This window comes from Homo sapiens, chromosome 8 (assembly GCF_000001405.40).
Source record: "Homo sapiens chromosome 8, GRCh38.p14 Primary Assembly".
In the NCBI taxonomy this organism is placed as follows: domain Eukaryota; kingdom Metazoa; phylum Chordata; class Mammalia; order Primates; family Hominidae; genus Homo; species Homo sapiens.
Genome location: NC_000008.11, coordinates 12,576,985 through 12,597,771, shown reverse-complemented (window position 1 = coordinate 12,597,771; position 20,787 = coordinate 12,576,985). Strand labels below are relative to the sequence as shown.

Genomic DNA, 20,787 nt, shown 5'->3' with positions numbered 1-20,787 from the left:
GGTGGGGGGGCATCCTGTGTATTGTAGGACGGTTAGCAGCATCTGTGGTCTCCATCCTCTAGGTGCCATTCTACCCTCCCAGTTATGGCTACCCCAGATGTCTCCAGATGGTTTCAATGCTGTGGGGCAAGGGAGTGTTATGTGAGCAAAACCACCCCAGTTGAAAGCCATTGGTCTACACTTGTATAAATGTTTGAGGGTGAGAGTGTCGACCTTGGGTCCCTGCTGTACCCTTTATGAGCAATGCTGTCTTGGAAAGTTAATAGTACTCCAGGGGCCTCAGTTTTCTCATCTATAAAATGGAGATAAATGAGATACAGTTTCATAGGAAGGTTATATGGGATTTACTGAGATAATAAGACAGTACATGGAAAATACTGGGCATAGCCTTTATTTATTTAATTTTTTCTTAAGACAGAGTCTTACTCTGTTGCCCAGGCTGGAGTACAGTGGCATGATCTCTGCTCACTGCAACCTCCACGTCCTGGGCTCAAGTGATTCTCCTGCCTCAGCCTCCAGAGTAGCTGGGATTACAGGTGCCCACCACCACACCTGGCTAATTTTTGTATTTTTAGTAGAGATGGGGTTTCACCATGTTGGGCAGGCTGATCTCAAACTTCTAACCTCAGGTGATCCGCCTGCCTCGGCCTCCCAAGTTGCTGAGATCACAGGTGTGAGCCAGCACACTGGGCTTGTCATCGCATTGTAACACAGACAAAGCACAAAATACGTGGACAATATCTTTTTACATTTGGCTTGTCTAGACTCCATCCTCCATCCCCTCGTGCACTGGTGTGGTGCAGACCAGAATATCGCTCACCTAGACTGCAGAGTGGATTTGGGTGGCATCTTGGCTTTCTGCACAAGACTTGCCTGCTCCCCACCACATCCCCCTGGTTCTCAGGGTTCAGGATTCCAGGAGGCCGGGATGTGGGTAGGCAGGTCAGGTGGCCCACCCAGTTCACTCTCACACTGGGGACCTGCAGAGCCAGCTCCCTGAGACAGGGTGTTTTGACCAACATCTGATTTTTTTGATTTCCATTTGAGCACAGCTGGACTACACAGGCTGAAGCTCTCTCTGCCGAGATATAGATATTTCCCTGGCAATGATCTTTCAAGTTGACATGAAGACATGGCCATCCGCTGGAACATCGTGGGTCTGCCGTAGTGCTCTTGTAATTTGTGAGGCAGGCTCCTGATGAATGCAGTGCGTAAGTGGGAAATGGTAGGATGTTCTCCCATCCTCCCCTTGCCGAAAGTGCTGCCTGCGCAGGTTGGTGGACGGTCCTTTGAGCAGGAAGAAGACACGGAGCACATTCCTGTTAGCTATGACAGAGAGGGGCAGGGTACACACTGGACATTTCAAGCCCCTGTAGAGAAGCAAGTCTTACTGTGCTGGGAGTTCTTGTGGAGTGGGGGCTGTGTTGCCCTGGGCTTTAATTATTTCAGGAACATTTAACCACAGGGCCAGCAGGCTGGATCTTGATATGTGTTTCTTAGTTGGAAAGATTTTGGACCATAGAGAAATGTCTTCTCAATTCTTTTAATTTCATTAAGGTGGTCATTTTTCTTCTTGTGGCCTCTGGAATGTGACACAGAACTCAAGGGACAGGAAGGAGATGAGTTGGAGGCTGGGACAGGGGTCCCTGCCAGGGATGCTGGTGACTCACGTGACGGTGTTGATGTGTGGAGTCCGGTGCCTGGTTTGGGGAATGTTCGTGGGATATGTTCCAAAGGACTGACAGACCTATCAGGTACTGGAGGTGAATGGTCAAGTCTGATCTCAGGGCTGACAGTGTCAGGCAAGGACAGGAAGTTGGCATTGGTCTCATTGGCTGAGGTTGTTGGGACCCAGGGGGCAATGTGTGCCAGGACAGATGGGTCTGGGGCTAGGAAGGCAGGTTTGGGCTGGCGACCCGGGCATGGGAGGCATCCCAGGTAGACAGTGGTTGAGGCTGTGGAAATGACCGCGATTGCCTGGGATGAGAGTGGAGACAGACAAGATGGAGGTTTTGCTTTAAGCCTGGGGAGCCCACCTCCCAGGTTCAAGCGATTCTCCTGCCTCAGCTTCCCAAGTAGCTGGGAATGCAGGTGCGTACCACCATGCCTGACTAACTTTTGTATTTTTAGTAGAGATGAGGTTTGGCCAGGCTGGTCTCAAACTCCTGACCTCAAGTGATCGGCCCACCTTGACCTCCCAAAGTGCTGGGATTACAGGCATGAGCCACCATGCCTGACCATTTTTAAATATTAATTTTTATGCAATATTTTCAAACACATTTTACTGTACATTGGAAAAGTCAATCATGATTTGAAAACTTTATAAAAATCTAATCAAATATCAATTAACCATTTAATTGTGGATAAGTAAGGAGACTATTTTGACCAAAACATGTTAGAACAATTACCACTTATAGAAATAATCTGTGTTTTAATGTTTTAGTTGAATTAAACAATCTTTTATATTCTGTCCAGGTGCAGTGGTTCACACCTGTAATCCCAGCACTTTGGGAGGCCGAGGCTGGCGGATCACCTAAGGTCAGGAGTTCGAGACCAGCCTGGTCAACATGGCAAAACTGTCTCTACTAAAAATACAGAAATTAGCCAGGTGTGATGGCACACACCTGCAATCCCAGCTACTTGGGAGGCTGAGGCAGGAGAATCGTTTGCACCTGGGAGACAGAGGTTGCAGTCAGCCGAGATTGAACCACTGTACTTCAGCCAGCCTGGGTGACAGAGCGAGACTCTGTTTCAAAAATAAATAAATAAATAAAATAGAATTCTGAATTTTATTTTTAATAATTATTTTTGTAAAGAGAATGTCTTGTTTTTTGGAGTTGTTGAATTTATTGAATTGGCAAAAATTATGTACAAGAGGGTATACAACATGATGTGATTGAGGTATGTATACATTATGAAATGGCTAAATCAAGCTAAATAACATATCACCTCCCAGACTTACTTTTTGGGGTGAGAACACTTAAACAATCTACTCTCTTAGTGATTTCCAAGTGTATGATATGTTGTTATTAACTATAGGTACCTTGTTGTCCCATGGATCTCCTGAACTTATTCTTCTTCTCTAAAAATGACATTCTGTGTCCTTTGGCATCTGCCCACTTCCCCACCCTGGCAACCATCATTCTACTCTGCTTCTGTGAATTCAACTTTTTTCTTCTCTTTTTTTTTTTCTTTTTTTTGAGAAAATCTCCTTCTATTGCCCAGGCTGTAGTGCAGGGTTGTGATCATGGCTCACTGCAGCCTTGACGTCCCAAGTTCAATCAATCCTTCCACCTCAGCCTCCTGAGTATCTGGGAGTACAGGCATGCACTACCATGCTCCACTAATTTTTGTATTTTTTGTAGAGATGGGGTATTGCTATGTTATGCAGGCTGGTCTCGAACTCCTGGGCTCAAGCAATCTGCTGGTCTCAGCCTCCCAAAGTGCTGTGATTACAGGCGTGAGCCACCATGCCTGGCCGAGTTCAACTTTTTTAGATTCCACATGTAAGTGAGATCATGTGGTATTTGTCGTTCTGTGCCTGGCTTATTTCACTTAACATAATATCCTCCAGGCTCATCCATGTTGTCTCAAATGGCAGGATTTCCTTCTTTTTGAAGGCTGAATAGTATTCCATTGTGTACATACACCACATTGTTGCTGGAAGTTTAATGGAGGCCAGTTGGGGGAGGATGGGGAGAAGATTCACTCTAAGTCTAGATGCTCCAGTACCCACCCAGGATGTGTGCAAGGAAGTGCAGGATGCTCCTGGTCCTGCAAACTGTGGTTTGTGGGACTCCAAAGCCCCTATCCTTCCACGATGCTTTCTGTCCTGTTATCACATTTCCTTGGAGGAGAACCCAGCCTTGGTGGAGAGCCCTGCTCTGGCTTTGTCCCTCGGCATGAGATGGCGAAGGATGCTGCCGCTGGGAGACCCTCACATCTGCACACTGGGGGCTGTTTGCCTTCTCCATTCCTCCTTCAAGTATCTGAGCAGCTCCTGTGTGTCAGCTGCTGGTCTACAAGATGGATGGGTCCTTGGAGATCACCCTGTAGCAGAGGAGGCAGGCTATAGCCCACAGGCCAGAACCAGCCCCCTGCCTGTTCACACAAATAAAGTTTTATTGGAACACAGCCACACCCATTTCAGTACCTATTGTCTGTGGCTGCTTTCCTGCTACAATGGAGAGTTGAATATTTGGGACAGAGACCTATGGCCTGCAAAGCTCAACTATTTACCATCTGGCCCTGGAGAGAAAGGAAAAAAATGCTGATCCTTGTACCCCGACAGTCTTAGGTTAAGAGGACTTCGTAACACTCTGACGTCCCAGGCGGCCATGAGTCCAGCCACCCTTGAAATGTACACAAGTCTGGGCTGAGGTTGCAGCAGGTGAGGCCCAATTTTGCAGGTCTTTGGTATCAGGGGCACAACCCAGGATTTTGTGTGGGGTTTCTTCCTCACTGTGGCTGGGCACTGGGCAAGGGAGCTTTCTGATTTTTGTATGGGGAAGAGAAAGGAGGGAGGAAATGGCAACTTGTTGCCCTGTTCTAACATTTTCCTAAGATGGGTCTCCAGGCCAGGGCTTGGGATCTCACCTTGCACAGCTTACAAAACCCAGTGAGGCCGGCTGTCTTGGCGCTGCCACTCTGAGGGATGGAGCCCGCAAATGACTAGGAAGGGAGATAAAAGAATGGTTTCTGCAAGCACAAGAAGTGGCGTTATTGAAATTAACATTTCCCCCAAGTTTTACAATGTCTAGGCATGCATATTTAAGTGTCTGCCTCAAAAGCTCATGCTAATAAGGAGATGGTGCATTTAATTTCCTTTTTTTGTTCTCTGAGCAACATGCAGCTTCCTGCACAGCCCTCCTTGCAGGCAACTGCACTGAGGTGACAGTCCTCCTGGCTGCCAGCACAGATCCCCAGGGCCTCTGAGAGCCCTGTATTCTGGGGGCAGTCTTTCACTTTCTATTCGGCCCCAGCTGGAAGGGGGCAGTTTAACCACAGCCCAGCACAGGTCTCCCGCCTTAGCTTCTCTAAGGAGTCTGGCTCCCTCTGACCCTCTAGACCTCACCAGCTGAGGATCAGAGCCCCGGGGCAGGAGCCAGGGCCAGGGGGCATTGGGGGGTGGTTTGAGAGTGCAGCTCTGGAGGGGGGCAGTGCGGGCCCAGGAAAAGCTGCTCAGGGGAGACTGCAAAGAGATGGCAGAGTTAGGACAAGAGGGTTGGGCATGGTGGCTCACATCTGTAATCCCAGCACTTTGGGAGGCCGAGGTGGGCGGATCACCTGAGGCCAGGAGTTTGAGACCAGACTGGCCAATATGGTGAAAACCTGTCTCTACTAAAAATACAATAATTAGCCGGACATGGTGACACCTATAATCCCAGCTACTCGGGAAGCTGAGCCACGAGAATTGCTTGAACCCGGAAGGTGGAGGTTGTAGTGAGCTGAGATTGTGCCACTGTACTCCAGCCTGGGCAACAGAGCAAGATTCCATCTCAAAAAAAAAAAAAAAAAATAGGACAGGAGGAGGAGGGAAGAGAAGGGAGCTGTGGGGCAGCGGCCAGGACCTTAAAGGCACAGAAGAGGAAGCTTGGATTTCCAATTCCAAAGGACATGAGGAAAATTCACACACCTTTATTTAACCTGCTCCAGGTGAGGCTGGGTTTTGTGTATTTTCCTTGTTTTACTTTTCCTTGTGTTCAGGCTGTTGTAGAAACAGGTACACAGGGGCTCTGTGTGGCGCCCTGTTCTAGTTGCCTTCAGGAAGCATGGGGTGCCCTGGCCTTGGCTTCGTGTCCCCCTTTCCTCCTGCCACCCCTGACTCTGCCCCCCACCTGGTCCCTCAGAACATCTTCCTGGAAGGGCCTGGCCAGGGCTTGTGTCCTTGCTAGTCTCTGGGGAGGAAGACTCTGTGGCTTGAAAGGCTGTCGGCTTAAGTTGCAAGGTGTAGGTGCCTGGGAGGGCATGTGCACGGCCCTCTTGACTGATCCATTCATGTTTTCCTTTTTTGACTCCGTTCTATGTTGTCCTGATGGAGGGGTAAGCCCCTGCCTTCTGCCTTTCCTGCCTTGGACTCTTGCAATTGGGCCAGATGAGAGGGTCCATGTGGTCTGAGAATTCAAGCAATGCAGGCCAGGCATGGTGGCTCACACCTGTAATCCCAGGACTTTTGGAGGCTAAGGTGGGCAGGCCAGGAGTTTGAGACCAGGTGGCCAAAATAGTGAAACCCTGTCTCTACAAAAAATACAAAAGTTAGTCGGGCTTGGTGGTGCATGCCTGTAATCCTAGTTATTTGGGAGGCTGAAGCAAGAGAATCCCTTGAACCCAGAAGGAGCAGGTTGCAGTGAGGAGCAGGTTGCAATGAGGAGGAGGTTGCAGTGAGGAGGAGGTTGTAGTGAGGAGCAGGTTGCAGTGAGGAGGAGGTTGCAGTGAGGAGGAGGTCGCAGTAAGGAGGAGGTTGCAGTGAGGAGGAGGTCGCAGTGAGGAGGAGGTTGCAGTGAGGAGGAGGTTGTAGTGAGGAGCAGGTTGCAATGAGTAGGAGGTTGCAGTGAGGAGGAGGTTGCAGTGAGGAGGAGGTCGCAGTGAGGAGGTCGCAGTGAGAAGGAGGTTGCACTGAGGAGGAGGTTGTAGTGAGGAGGAGGTTGCGGTGAGGAGGAGGTTGCAGTGAGCCGAGATTGTGTCCCTGGACTCCAGACTGGGCAATAGAGCGAGACTATGTCTCCAAAAAAAAAAAAAAAAAATTATATAGAAAACAGAAAGCAAAACTACCTCTTGATTTGCTTTTCTTGATCTTGCATCTCAGAGGTAACACTGGGAAGGGTTGGGGTATACCTCTCCCCACCTTTTTCTTTGATTTATTTTTATTTTTTATTCTACGTTCTGAGATACATGTGCAGAATGTGCAGGTTTGTTACATAGATATACATGTGCCATGGTGGTTTGCTGCACCTATCAACCCGTCATCTAGGTTTTAAGCCCCGCATGCATTAGGTATTTGACCTAACGCTCCCCCTCGCCTTGTCCCCCACCCCCGATGGGCCCCGGTGTGTGATGTTCCCCTACCTGTGTCCATGTGTTCTCATTGTTCAACTCCCACTTATGAGTGAGAACACACCGTGTTTGGTTTTCTGTTTCTGTCCACAGCTTTTTCCTCTGTGCACACAAGCACATGTATTTGCACATAAGTGTTTATTGTAATCTTTTTAAAAAAGTAAAAATGCAATAATGCTATATTTATTCTTTGGAAAGCCTGTTTTTCAGGCAGCATGTCTTTGACATTGTCTCACGTTGGAACCTGGGTACCACCTTCTTCTCCCTGCAGTTATTCTGACGTGTGGATGCACCACGCTTCGTTTAACCAGCCCTGCACCGAGACGTCTTTGGAGGGTTTCCGCCTTTTCCCAATCACAGACGGTGTTCTGATGAATTTCCTCACACATATCACTTGGTGCTCTGTGCCTGCATTTCTGTGAGATGTTCCTGGAGGTGGGCTGTCTAGGTCAGAGGGGGATCTGTGCTCAATTTGCATCCTGTGCAAAACTCCATCCGGTCATCCAGCTTCCCAAGGGCTCACATGGTACTGTCCTCTGTAGACATCATCTTCTGCAGATGATGGCATGACAGCCCCTCTTTCTTTTACTCACACCAGTCTGCACCCTGGTGTCCTGGGGGGTCCAGCCCCTACCTGCTTGTCTGCCTCCACCCCACAGTGCCCCCAGCCCCTGCTAACAGGGACACTGGCTTCTGAGCTCTGGCAGACTGCCTCACTCTGGAGAAGTTTGCTTTCTCAAACATTCCTGGCAATGTTACTGCAAATCTCGAGGCCTGCATTTGCCTTCTTCAGGCCTCAGTTTCCTCAAAAGTAAAATGGGGATAATGTGATGCTACTGTCTGCATCCTAGAGCTGCCATGAGGTTTCAGTGAGATCACTGTTGAGAGCACGTTCATAGCGCCGGCCTTGTGCGCAGTCAGCACGTGTGGGGCAGGGCTGTTGCTGATAGGTGGTTGACTGTCATTGCTAGACTGTGGCTTTACCAGGGTCAATGTCTTTAGTGCCGAGCCCAGAGCCACCCCTAGTACCTGCTGTGTTTATAGAGTGATTGAGTGTCAGGGTCAGAGACTGGGGCAATGGCAGCAGAAACAGAGGAAAGAAGTGGGGCTTCTAATAGTTCCTGCACCAGTGGCCTTTGAGATGAAACCTTCTTGCCAAGGTCTGGGACTGTGCTGTTTGTTCTAGGCCCGAGACTGGAAGCTAGGCCTGGCTACAGTCCTAGCTGAGCTGGGGAATTGCAGGACAGCATCCTGCTTCATTAGGACACCTCCAAGCCCAGCTTAGACGTGGATTCCAGGTGACCCCCTGTTTACTCTGAGCCCAGACAGAGGACAGAAAAGTGTGCAAGGGTCTGGACCCTCATCACAGCCGTTGACTCTGTAAGGCATATGGGTTTGTGCACGTGTGTGAGCACGGCCGTGTCTTCTCTGTGAGTTTCAAGCTCGAGGTTGTGTTTATGCAGGGTTAGGCTTGCCAGGTAAAATACAGGAGGTCCAATTAAACCTGAACTTCTCATTAACCTTTTTTTTTTTTTTTTTTTTTTTTTGGTGCAAATATATCCCATGCAATATTTGGGACCTGCTTACCCTAAAAAATGATTTGTTGTTTATCTGAAATTCAAGTTAAACTGGCATCCTCTCTTTTCACTTGCTACGTATGAGAGTTCCGTGTGGGGGTTATCAGTGTGCATTTGTGAGTTCCCATGTGAAGGACTCTCTCCAAGTGTCTGTAGGTGCCAGGATGGAGATGGACAGAGAAGATCCTCTTGGGCTGCTTTAGTGGCACCTAGAGGCTGTGGGGTTGGACACTTCAGCCCCAGGGACCTGGGCAGCACTGTCCAGCACTTGCCTGCTCCTGTCTTCTCCACGGGGGCTGACTTCCCTGACATCTCTCTCCAAATACGGTGGCAAGAGCTATCCCATCTGCCCCCATCTGGAGCTCGGCATCCCAGCCAGACAAGATGGCAAAGTGTGCAGATGGTTGCAAAGCTTTCCCCAGCTCCTTCTGCAAGGGGCCTGCAGATGAAAGGGAAGCCCTCATCCTCACCACCTCCCCCTTCCAGAAAACCCAGGCAACAGCCACCTCTGAATGCTGCTTTAGAAGCTTCTCCCTCCTGGTGATTAAACCACCCCAAACAATAAAGCACTGCCTTTCCACCATAGGCTTGTTCACATGCACGCAGCCAGTTGTCTTGGATCCGCCCCTGTGCCTGATTCATCAGGGTGAGGGGTTCTCCTCTGAGGTGCTTGCAAAGAGCTGCTTAATTTTCATGTGAAAGACTCTCTGTAGAAACCAGGCCCAGCTTTGGAAGAAAGCCCTTTCTCCCCCTTTAGCAAATTCGGTGTCATTTTTTTTTCTTTTTTGAGACGGAGTTTCACTTTTGTTGCGCAGGCTGGAGTGCAATGGTGCAATCTCAGTTCACTGCAGTCTCTGCCTCCTTGGTTCAAACGATTCTCCTGCCTCAGCCTCCTGAGTAGCTGGGACTACAGGCACCCACAACCACACCCAGCTAAATTTTTTTTTGTATTTTTAGTAGAGAGGGAGTTTCACCATGTTGGTCAGGTTGGTCTTGAACTCCTGACCTCAGGTGATCCACCTCGGCCTCCCAAAGTGCTGGGATTACAGGCATGAGCCACCACGCCTGGCTGGAATTCTGTGTCATTCTGCATACTTATCATGACTTCAAGCATCCAGGACTCTGTCCTGGGTATCCTGAGCCTGAGGGTGTATGTGTGTCCAGCTGGCTTGGAGGTTGTCTACAGACAGGTTGAACTTGGCCTCTGAATGCATGGCAGCCCCATGTGGGAAATACCACCAAGGAACCTCATCGTGTGCTTTTAGGAGATAGTTTCTATTTAGTCATTGCTGAATCTGTTACAGACAGGGTCTCGATTTCTTGCAAGTCCTGTATGAGGTCGGTGCTGTGATTATCCATATTTTCACTTGCTCTCTCTGGCCTCTTTCAGGCTCTTGCACTTCCTTTGTTTTCTTTCTGCCATAGGGTCTTTGCACATCCTGCTCTTTCTGCCTGAAAAATTTTCCCTCTCCCTGCTTCTTCACCTGGTCACGGTCTCATCTGACACTGGAGTCACTATATCCTCAGGGACTTCTGGCCACACTGACTCAGTCCCAGTAACCCCCTGTTATCTGCTTTCATGACACCAGCTGCCTCTCTGTGGTAGAAACTAGCTCAGCTATGGCTTCCTATTTCTCTGCGTGTCATCCTTCCCCTTCAAGACTGTGGTCACCATAAGGGCCAGGGACGTGCCTGTTCTGATTCTCATTTGTGTCTCTGGTGTTTAGTATATGCTCACCTAGAATTTGATTAATGAATGACAACATACCCATTTTACAGATGAGAAAGTTGAGGCTCGGAAACATTATGTAACTTGCTCAGTATTAGATAGTGATGGTTTGTGGTCATCTGGCCAGTCGCTGGGTGCACACTCTTAACCACTTCACTATGGTTTTTCTCTCATGGTAGCTCTCCAACAGCAGGAGTGAGAGACAAGTTTAGGATAGGAGTAACCAGAATCTCAGGGCTTATCCTAGAAGGTGGTGTCAGGAACATACTTGCCTATGGGCCTTCTTACTGTATTGCATAAAATACCCAGTTTTTCTGACTCACCTTTAGTAAAGACCTTAGCAATATTTGAAGCACAGTTGTCAGTAGGAAAGGGTGGATGTTTATACTTTTTTAAAAAGGAGTCTTTATCATATTTATCTTGTGGTCTGCCATGCCCCCCGATCTTCTTCAGCTTCAGTTATGCAAAATTCACACTTCTTCTCTTGACTGCCTCTCTCTTACCTGTTCAGTTTATTTTCTGTGTTCGAGATTGCTTAGAATTTTTCCCCATTACTACAGCCTGCTTCCCAACTGCATCCCCCACCCAGCTTGTTCTGGATTTTGTCAACAACAGTTCCAGCGTTTAGTGAGGGCTGGATTGAAGGAAAGCCTTGGAAAAGGCTATGTGATGAATGGTGAAGACACTTAATGGGCAGGCAGTCATCAGGGTTAATTCAAAGGCTGGAAGAAGGGCTGACCTGGAGGACTGGAAATGTCTTTGAGCTGAAGGTCATGTGCAGGTGGAACGAAGAGGGTGAGCCTTTTGGGGTGAACTGCAAGTATTTGATAATATCCCTGTCTCCATGGTTGGGGAAGTCTTGATAAGCATCCTTAATGTGAAGGAGGGATTAAGGAACCCCTGGTTCTACCTGCCCAGCATGGCAGTAACATGACACAGCCAAGTTATTGATTATTGGTTGCCCAGCTGTCATCAGCTCAACATCTTCTGTTAGTTTTAGCTGCAATTTCCGTTAGTTATCAATGCCAGTTTTGACTTTCCTAGTCAATAAAGTGTTCTGAGAGTGGTGACTAAGGCTGAGGACTACCCATAATCATGAGTATTACAGAGGCAAGCCCCCTTGCCCACCTACCTGCAGGTGATGAGACACCCTAGGGAAATAACTCAATTCTTTGGAGGACCCCGAATAAATGCCCAAGTCTATCTGTTCATCTGTCCATCCATCCATCCACCCTTCCTTCCTTCCATCCGTCCATCCATCCATCCATCCAGACATGCATACATCCAACCACCCACCCATCTATCTACCCACCCACCAATCTATCCATCCAACCCACTCTCTTATACACCCAGCTATCATCCACCTACCCATCCACCACCACCCTCTATCCATCCACTCACCCATGCATCTATCCACCCGTTTACTCATCTAACCATCTATCCACCCACCCATCCATCCATTTATCCCTCCAACCCCTCACCCACTCATCCATTTCTCCACCCACTCAGCCATCCCTTCACTGACTCAACCATCCATTCATTCGTCCACCTGCCCGCCCACCCATTATCCACCCATCCACCTATGTATCCATCCATCTGTTGTCCTTCTGTTCATTTATTCCACAAAGACTCGTTAACCACCTGCTAGATTCTGGGGAGGTACCTGCTCTAGTAATTGAGAACATGATCTCTGGAATATGATTCCCTGGGCTCAAACTGAGCTGCCTCCTAGCTAGCTGCTTGGGTAAGTTATAGAAACCGTGCTTTGACTTTCTTATCTGAAAATTGGCTATTAATAGCTTCTACTCTTGCAGATATAGTGAGGATTAAATAAGATGTCACATTAAAAGTGCATCATCGGCACTCAATAGAGATTAGGTTTTACCATTCATTATTATTCTTGGCAGATGCTGCAGATAACGTGGAGAGCATATGAAAGGCACATGTTTGAACCAATAGTGACATACAGACGCTAAGTTCTGCATTAGGGGAAGGTCAGACAGCCATGGAGAGGGCCTGGCCCAATCCTGGAGCCTCAGAAAAATGTTCCCCATTGAATTCCTGTTTTAGCTGAGACTTGTGGGATGGGTAGTAGTTGGAGATCCCAGACAGGATGTGACCGAGTTAGCCAGGGAAAAATTGGGTCCTGGCACCCATGGCAGAATTGATTGATCAGTTCTTCTGTCTCCTCTGTTTGGAAGTCCACTAGGTCTGGGAATGTCAAGTTGGGGGAGGGCGCTGACAATGATCATGACCTTCACCTGTCCTCACATGTCCTCTGTGTATCTGCAAAGCCTCTGCCTCAGTCTCCTCTTTTGGAAAGTGGGATTGGAAACCACATCTGCTTCTCTCCCAGGACTGCTAGGAAGACAAGATTAGATGGCAGGTGAGAGCTCCTTGAAAACAAAAACATTCTACTATTTGAATGCAAAGTGTTCTTCTTTGCCTGTGATGTTTCCTAATCTGTGAAATCATACTGGACCTCGAAGCTGTCTATTAAAAAAATAGCAAAGTGGCTGGGCATGGTGGCTCATGACTATAGTAGTTCTAGCACTTTGAGAGGCTGAGCGGGGTGGATCATTTGAGGCCAGGAGTTCGATACCAGCCTGGCCAATATGCGAAACCACATCTCTACTAAAAATACAAAAATTAGCCAGGTGTGGTGGCATCTGTCTGTAGTCCCACCTATTCGGGAGGCTGAGGCACAAGAATCATTTGAGCTCAGGAGGCAGAGGTTGCAGTGAGCCAAAATTGCACCACTGCACTCCATCCTGGGCAACAGAGTGAGGCTCTGTCTGAAAAAAGAAAAAAAAAAGCAAAGTTAACACTTCCTCCATCTCTCCCCTGGGGGAGGCAATTTGTCAAAGATTGTTGTTGGATTTTACACACAGGGAAATCTAAGGAAAGTGTGGAAATCAGACCGGGACTCCAGACTCTGGTCTCCCTGTTTGCAGAGTCTTAAAATGGGGAGCCACTTTGGGTTCTTTCTACGAGATTGCTTTTTTAAAAACAAACAAACAAACAAAAAAAAAACTCAAAAAAAAAAAAAAAAAACCCTGACCTAAATATTCACAAGGGACCTTAGGCAATATCTGCAAACAAAAGTGAGTGAGGAGTGGAATCTGTCTTTACAACTAAGACAGCTCCAGAGTTAAAGCAAGTGGAAATATCTCTAGAGACAGAGACTTGGGCGGGTTTTGTTTTGTCACTTACAAGCTATGAGAACCTGGGCAGGTTTACCTCTCTGAGCTTCTGTGACCTTGTAAAATAGGCTGCATTGCGCTAAACTTGCAGGAGGAATCCCAGCATCCTCCTGTGCACAAGGCTGGTTTCTTCCCATCCTTTTCCTTGTTCTGCCTCTCTCCTCCTCTCCAAGAGACGAATACATTTGGAGCCAGTAGGGGCCTATGTTTGCAAAAGCTCGCAGGTGATTCTCATGCAGCCAGCCTGGCTCTGGCACTGAGTTCTTGGACATTTCTGGAGACGCATTTACTAGTGAGGAAGGTCTCTCTGTGCTGAAGGCATGATTCATCTTCCATTCCTTTCTTCCATGAAGGAAGGCGCATGGGTCGACTGAGCTGGGAGAGTCCACGATGTCAGCCTCCCCCACGCTTCCCTCCCTCCTTATTCCTTGTGTGTTGTACTTTGTCTCGATTTCCTGTACTCTGCACCAAGCCAGGAGATGATAAGATCTCAAAAAAATCGTTTTTTGGGAAATGGGATCAAGAGGGTTTTTGTTTGCTTGTTTGTTTGAGACAGGGTCTGTCGCCCAGGCTGAAGTGCAGTGGCGTGACCTTGGCTCACTGCAGCCTTGACCTTCTGGGCTCAGGTGATCCTCCCACCTCAGCCTCCTGAGTAGCTGGGACTGCAGATGCACACCACCATGCCTGACTAATTTGTCTATTTTTTGTAGAGATGAGGTTTCACCATGTTGCCTAGGCTGGTCTCAAACTGCTGGGCTCAAGCAGTCCTCCATCCACCTCGGCCTCCCAAACTGCTGAGATTACAGGCATGAGCTGCTGTGCCTGGCCAAGGTTTTTTTTTTATTATTATTACAAAAACTTTTCAATAAACATAAAAGTAGAGACACCAGTTTAATGAGCTATCATATACCCATCACATAGATTTAAAAACTATTAACATTTGCAATATTTACTTCATTTGTTTTTCTGAAGTATTTACAAAATAGTTGACAGTAGTTATGTAATTGCATCCTGATATTCATCCCTACGTAATTTACTTTCCCTCTAAAAACATGAGGGCACTTTTTATATGATCATTGTCATACCTAATCAAATTACCAGTAATTCCTTAATATCCTCTAAGATCAACTTTACATTCAGATGTCTTGTCCTCAAAATGTCATTTGTGATTATTTTTTTCTTTGACCAAAGATAGTAAGATCTCAAGATTTAATGACAGAGATTCCATGTTAGCCCTGATGTCTAAGCTCTGTGGTCCATTGTGGCTTTACTTGAAAGTCTGAGGCTAGGCGTGGTGGCTCACATCTGTAATCCCAGCACTTTGGGAGGCCAAGGTAGGCGGATCATGAGGTCAAGAGATCAAGACCATCCTGACCAACATGGTGAAACCCTGTCTCTATTAAAAATACGAAAATTAGTCAGGTGTGGTGGCGGGTGCCTATAGTCCCAGCTATTCGGGAGGCTGAGGCAGGAGAATCACTTGAACCCGGGAGGCAGAAGTTGCAGTGAGCTGAGATTGCACCACTGGACGCCAGCCTGGGTGGCAAGAACAAGACTCTGGAAAAAAAAAAAGTCTCTCACTGTGGTCTCATAATAAAAGGACACTCCATTTCCCATCTGGTCCCTGCTCCTTAATGTTAGCCCCCTCCTGTGGGGAGGAAGGGGTGACTTTCAGCGCGGGTTCAAATATTCCCAGGGCTGGCTCTGATCCCAATAAAGCCCATCGTCATGAATGAATGCTTCCCTTGCAGGATATTCTAAGTATTGTAAATAGTGCACGTGGAGTGTCCTCATGATGCCTGGGATTGTAGTGAATATTTATAGGTTTCTTTTAGTGCCTTTTTTTTTTAAGTGTTTTCTATAGTTCCATGTTTCTACAACCCTTAGGAACATCAGAATCATGTGTGTGTGGGTGCTTATTAAATAAAAGAGTTCCTGGAGCTCACTCCCAGTGACTGCCAGTCTGATGATTAGGGGCTTAGCTAGGACCTAGGTTTGCAAAAGCTCCCAGCTGATCTCATGCAGCCAGCCTGGCTCTGGCTCTGGCGCTGGGAGCTGGGTTGGGAACTAGTCTTTGGTGCTATTCTGCTGATACTTCAAGTTGGGCTCTTTGACTCCGTCTTGTATTGTCATCACTTGTATTCAGGTCTGTTCTTCCCCTGGATTGTAAACTCCTTGATGTCTGGGTCATCTCAGCTCATGAGCTGAGCTTTCAGTGGGTGCTCAGTGGAACAGGTGCTGAATGGAGTCCGGCTCTAGGGAGGCCAGGGTGTGTTGGTAAGTGAGAGACTAAAATCCTTTTAAAAAGAATCTTTTTGCCCTTCAGTTGTGTTTGCCATGAGTTAATGTGATTTACTCTAGTGGAAGCCAGTGCAGCTTAAGTGGAGGTCTTGCCCTGAAATGGAGCCAGGTTATGGATCAGCAGAGCTGCCAAAAGCGTTTTGGGGGAAATGTTTCTGTGTCACCCTCAGTTGATTGAACTCAAGTTTTCACTCCCGTTTAACACCATGTGGGGGCCATTCTGACTTCTGCGGAGTGGGTATGATCAGATCTTCTGTAAAAGTGTAAGTGAGGGGGCTGGGCATGGTGGCTCACACCTGTAATCTTAGCACTTGGGAGGCTGAGGTAGGTGGATCACTTGAGGCCAAGAGTTTGAGACAAGCCTGGACGACATGATGAAACCTCATCTCTACTAAAAATACAAAAATTAGCCAGGCGTGATGGTGCATGCCTGTAATGCCAGCTACTCAGAAGCCCGAGGCAGGAGAATCACTTGAACCTGGGAGGTGGAAGTTGCAGTGAGCTGAGGTTGCACCACTGCACAGTATTCCAGCCTGGGTGACAGAGCGAGACTCTGTCTCAAAAAAAAATAAAAAAAAAAAGTGTATGTGAGGAAACTGGAATTGAGCATGGGGATGTTGGGGGATGGAGGTACTTCATTTACTGAACAACAAAAACCATAGGATACCAATCCTGGAGGAAGAAGCATCATCCTCAGATTCTACTAACTCAACCACGCATGAGATGGGGACTTGGTGTCCGAGAGAAAAGCTACTTTTTAGGTCTTCAACCTTGATCAAACCATTTCTGAATTCCTCATACATATATAATCAGGTGCTATGAGTGGTACTGATTGGATAATCTTTCTGTCTTTTCCTGTGCTAGGAAGGAAAATACATGTACAGCCAACTTCCTTGAGGGTTCGTTCTTTTGCATCAGGGTGTCTCAAACTGATGCCCTTAAAACACCTGTAAGAGAATCATCCAGGCGGCTTGCTTGCTCTGCATGCAGGCCCTTTAGAATCAGACTCAGAATCCCTGGGGCTGGAGCCACAAAATGAAATGACATTTCAACGAGTTTGTCATCATGTGAGAGAGAATAGGTGAGTATTTGGATACCTATAATACAAAGTAGATTCAAAAAGAATGACTTGATTATTTTAAATGTTGTGTTTTTAAAAATTTAATACAGAAAAGGCTGGGCACAGTGACCCATGCCTGTAATCTTAGCACTTTGGGAGGCCAAGGCGGGTGGATCATTTGAGGTCAGGAGTTCAAGACCAGCCTGGCCAACAAGGTGAAACCCCATCTCTACTAAAAACATAAAAATTAGCCAGGCAGTAGTGGTGCGTGCCTGTAATCCTAGCTGCGGGGGAGGCTGAGGCAGGAGAATTGCTTAAGCCTGGGAGGCAGAGATTTGGTGAGCTGAGATCGTACCACTGCACTCCAATGTGGGTGACGATTGTTTAACCACCACCAAAATGGGTTCTGAGTCCAACTATTAATATGAAGATGACATCCATTGTGGTCTTGTACATTTTGTTGCCTTTCCGGGGTGAAGGACATTGGTGACCATTTGTTTCCTCTGGAACGGTCGATTGGTCATAAACTTCCTGGTCCAGGTAGTCACTGTGTCATTCATGTTGGTGGTTGATCCTCAGGTAGTTAGGGAGGAAAATAAACAAGAAGTTATATATTTAAAATCACGTTTCAATTTTAGACCTGATTAATTGACTTAATAAAGGGCATTAACATTTCTACTTCCTACAGTCCCTCTCTTTACCTCTGGAAACTAGTTATTTCTAGGTTGTTTTATGTTGTTAAGGTTGACCACCTTCTCTTTCTGTTCTGCAATCATAGTCCTATCACTAGCCTTTTGTCATGGTCATTCAATTCACAAGTTGCTTATTTTTTAATTTCTTGGCTGACTAAATTTTATTATGAAGACTTTTTTTTAAAGAGCTCAGAAATACTGTATTCTTTAAGTTCTTCAGCATGTGTCTTTTGCCTATTTTGATTGGGCAATAATTTAGCTGGCTATAAAATTCTTGGATTATACTCTATTTCCCTTAGAAATTATAGGCACCCATCCACTGACATTTCATTGTGCTTTATTTTATTTTGTTTTATTTTTTGAGATGGAGTCTTGCTCTGTCACCCAGGCTTGAGTGCTGTGGTGCAATCTCGGCTCACTGCAAGCTCTGCCTCCCGGGTTCACACCATTCTCCTTCCTCAGCCTCCCGAGTAGCTGGGACTACAGGCGCCCACCTCCATGCCTGGCTAACTTTTTTGTATTTTTAGTAGAGACGGGGTTTCACCGTGTTAGCCAGGATGGTCTCGATCTGCTGATCTCTTGATCCACCGGCCTTGGGCTCCCAAAGTGCTGGGATTACAGGTGTGAGCCACTGTATGAGCCCAGCCCCATTGTGCTTTGTACTAACCCCCTTTCCCTGGCCTCTTCCAGCTTATCTTCTTCTCTCCCAGTAGTTTCTTCATGAAGAGGCCATGTGCTATATTCCATGAGATATTTCACACTCAAAGAAGACTTCTTTTATACTCTTGTGATAATTTGTCTGGGAATCACTGTCTTGATTTGTAAGGGAGTTTGTAATAAATACAATAAAAGAGAAACACAATATATTTTGAGACATCAGAGAAGGGAGAAACCAATTCTATTAATATTTGGGGTTAGCAGGGAAGGCTTAGTTAAGAGGTAACATTTGAACTAAGCCTTGAAATAAGGGAAAGATTTGGCCATGCAGAAATGGCGAGAGAGTAGAAGCAAGACATGATGGTTAGTGTTATGTATCAATTTGACTGGGTTGTGGGGTGCCCAGATATTTGGCTACACATTATTCTGGGTGTGTCTCTGAGGTATTCTGGATGAGGATAACATTTAATTGGTAGAGTGAATAAAGCAGATTGTCCTCCCCAATGTGGGTGAGCCTCATCCAATCCATTGAAGGCCTGAACAAAACAAAAAGGTAGAATCACAGAGAATTTGCTCTTTTTACCTGATTATATTTGAGCTGGGACATCAATCTTCTCCTGACTTTACATGTGGACTCGAGTTGGAACTATATCATTGGCTGTCCTGGGTCTCCAGCTTGCTGGCTGCAGACTCCAGGACTCCTTAGCTTCCATAACCAGGTGAGCCATCCCTTACAACAAATCAATCTGTCTCTCTCTATGTGTATATCTCTACCTCTATCTCTCTGCTCTTTCTCTGGAGAACCTAGAATAATACACAAGGTTATATTAGAGAAGAGGATGACCCAAGGAAAAGCATGGAGGCAGAAAAGTGCAAAGAGGGTTTGGGAAGACTGGGGTCCTGATGGGGAGTTTGGATTTCTCTGTGTGTAGCATGGAGAATCCTTGAAAATATTCAAGAGGTGAAAATTGTATTTGTGGAAGAACACCAGGAGTATGTGAAAAGAAAAACACTCACTCCATTTTAACTCCACTGAAGGGGGCATCAACGGGATGCACTGGGGACATGGGTTGGAGGGTAGTTGAGGCCATATCTGGAGGATCTTTACTTCTAAGCTGAGTCTGAAGTTATCTTTCTGGGGATTGGGAAATTACAAATCTTTGAGCTCCACTCAAGAGATGGTTTTGCTAACAATGGCAGGACGACGGTGGTGGTGGTGGTGGGAAACTGGTAGCATGAATTCTAATTGGGTTTCTGTTATTCTAGCCGAGAAAATTGGGGAATGGACTTTCAGTAGAATAATACAGATCTGGGAATCAACTGCATGGAGGAGGTAGTTATAGGTGATGAGATGTCTCAGGGACAAAGTTTGGTAGAAGGAGAAAAGATACTAGGCTGCTACAAAAATAATTGCTGTTTTTGCCATTACTTTTAATGGCAAAATCCGCAATTACTTTTGCACCAACCTAATAGGATGCAAACTTCGGAGCCATCTGCATCAGAGGGATTGATGAAGATCAACAAAGTTTGGGAACACAGGAAAGGAGCGGGGAGGGTAATGACTTGAGGGCATAGCAGGGATAATCAAGGTTTTTCTTGTTAGCATGTGGAGACTTAAGCATGATTATATGTTAATCGCCTGGCACATACACGGTGCAAAATATTTATGAGTGAAATGACAAGTGAAGGTGGTGAGTCATGGGAGTTCCAAGGGAACGGGTGATAAAGGCAGGTCTCAAATGAGGCACAAGTGGAGAAGGTAGCTTGGGAAAGGAGAAGGATGCTTCTCCTTATAACATGGGAAAGGCAGAGGAAGAGGATCAAGATACAGTGATCTAGGGGTGAGATGGAAGTGAGTTGAGAGAACTCAACTCTGGGCTCTGAAACCCCTAGGGCTGGGTTTGGGGGGCTTTGAGATATGGAAGAGGTTTACAGTCAATTGTTATAGCAAATATGGTTTGGAATTTATTTGTGATGCTTAAAAATATTGCTGAACAGAAGTGAAGTCTGCCCTAGAGTTGGATGGTGAGATTATTTAGTGGAACTACCAGATCCCTGTTGTGATTCTTTCCAGTATCATTCAGCAGCCCTTGGGCAGTTGCGAGGCAAGTCGTCAATGGGGTATGGAGATTTTCCAGGTGGGTGTGGTTGAAGGAAGGGAAGAAAGAGTTTAGGAGCACATTACAAGAAGAAGGTGACTGTAAGGTCCAGGCTGAGCAGGAAGGTAAAGCAAGAAGGAAACATGAGGTTGTGAAGAGAAGTTTAGAGGGATGAGGAGGCAGGAGAGGTGAACAGTTGCAGGATGTAGCTAGAGTGGCGATGTTAGATCTTGGGGCCAGAGAGCTTTACAATGATTATGAAGATCAAAGGGCATTAGAATCAAGCTATAAAGAGCCACTGTTTGATGTTGGGATGTGAGGATGCTGCAGGTGGATGTCTGCACATTGATGGTGAGAACATGGTCACCCTGGCCCTGCTGGGTCTTTGCTAAAGAGACTGTGCTCTGTTCTTGGGG

General features: G+C 46.8%; 1 long non-coding RNA gene across 1 annotated transcript in view, besides 4 other annotated features; it reads left to right on the top strand.

Annotated features, from left to right (window-relative positions):
* Window positions 1–20,787, top strand: part of LOC729732 (uncharacterized) — a 128,533-nt gene that overhangs the window by 67,840 nt on the left and 39,906 nt on the right. Inside the window, exons 7-8 of the long non-coding RNA NR_047662.2 lie at window positions 15,709–15,839; window positions 16,728–16,944. This is a non-coding gene — a long non-coding RNA (uncharacterized LOC729732). The remainder of the gene's footprint in view (window positions 1–15,708; window positions 15,840–16,727; window positions 16,945–20,787) is intronic.
* Window positions 5,843–6,429: an enhancer, noted in NCBI's record as "H3K27ac-H3K4me1 hESC enhancer chr8:12448852-12449438 (GRCh37/hg19 assembly coordinates)". NCBI's record gives its function as "activates a minimal SCP1, AML or CMV promoter by ChIP-STARR-seq in primed H9 embryonic stem cells {active_cell/tissue: H9 hESC(primed)}" and the evidence as "EXISTENCE:reporter gene assay evidence [ECO:0000049][PMID:30033119]".
* Window positions 7,495–8,224: an enhancer, noted in NCBI's record as "H3K27ac-H3K4me1 hESC enhancer chr8:12447057-12447786 (GRCh37/hg19 assembly coordinates)". NCBI's record gives its function as "activates a minimal SCP1, AML or CMV promoter by ChIP-STARR-seq in naive H9 embryonic stem cells {active_cell/tissue: H9 hESC(naive)}" and the evidence as "EXISTENCE:reporter gene assay evidence [ECO:0000049][PMID:30033119]".
* Window positions 8,225–8,955: an enhancer, noted in NCBI's record as "NANOG-H3K27ac-H3K4me1 hESC enhancer chr8:12446326-12447056 (GRCh37/hg19 assembly coordinates)". NCBI's record gives its function as "activates a minimal SCP1, AML or CMV promoter by ChIP-STARR-seq in naive and primed H9 embryonic stem cells {active_cell/tissue: H9 hESC(naive and primed)}" and the evidence as "EXISTENCE:reporter gene assay evidence [ECO:0000049][PMID:30033119]".
* Window positions 8,956–9,686: an enhancer, noted in NCBI's record as "NANOG-H3K27ac-H3K4me1 hESC enhancer chr8:12445595-12446325 (GRCh37/hg19 assembly coordinates)". NCBI's record gives its function as "activates a minimal SCP1, AML or CMV promoter by ChIP-STARR-seq in naive and primed H9 embryonic stem cells {active_cell/tissue: H9 hESC(naive and primed)}" and the evidence as "EXISTENCE:reporter gene assay evidence [ECO:0000049][PMID:30033119]".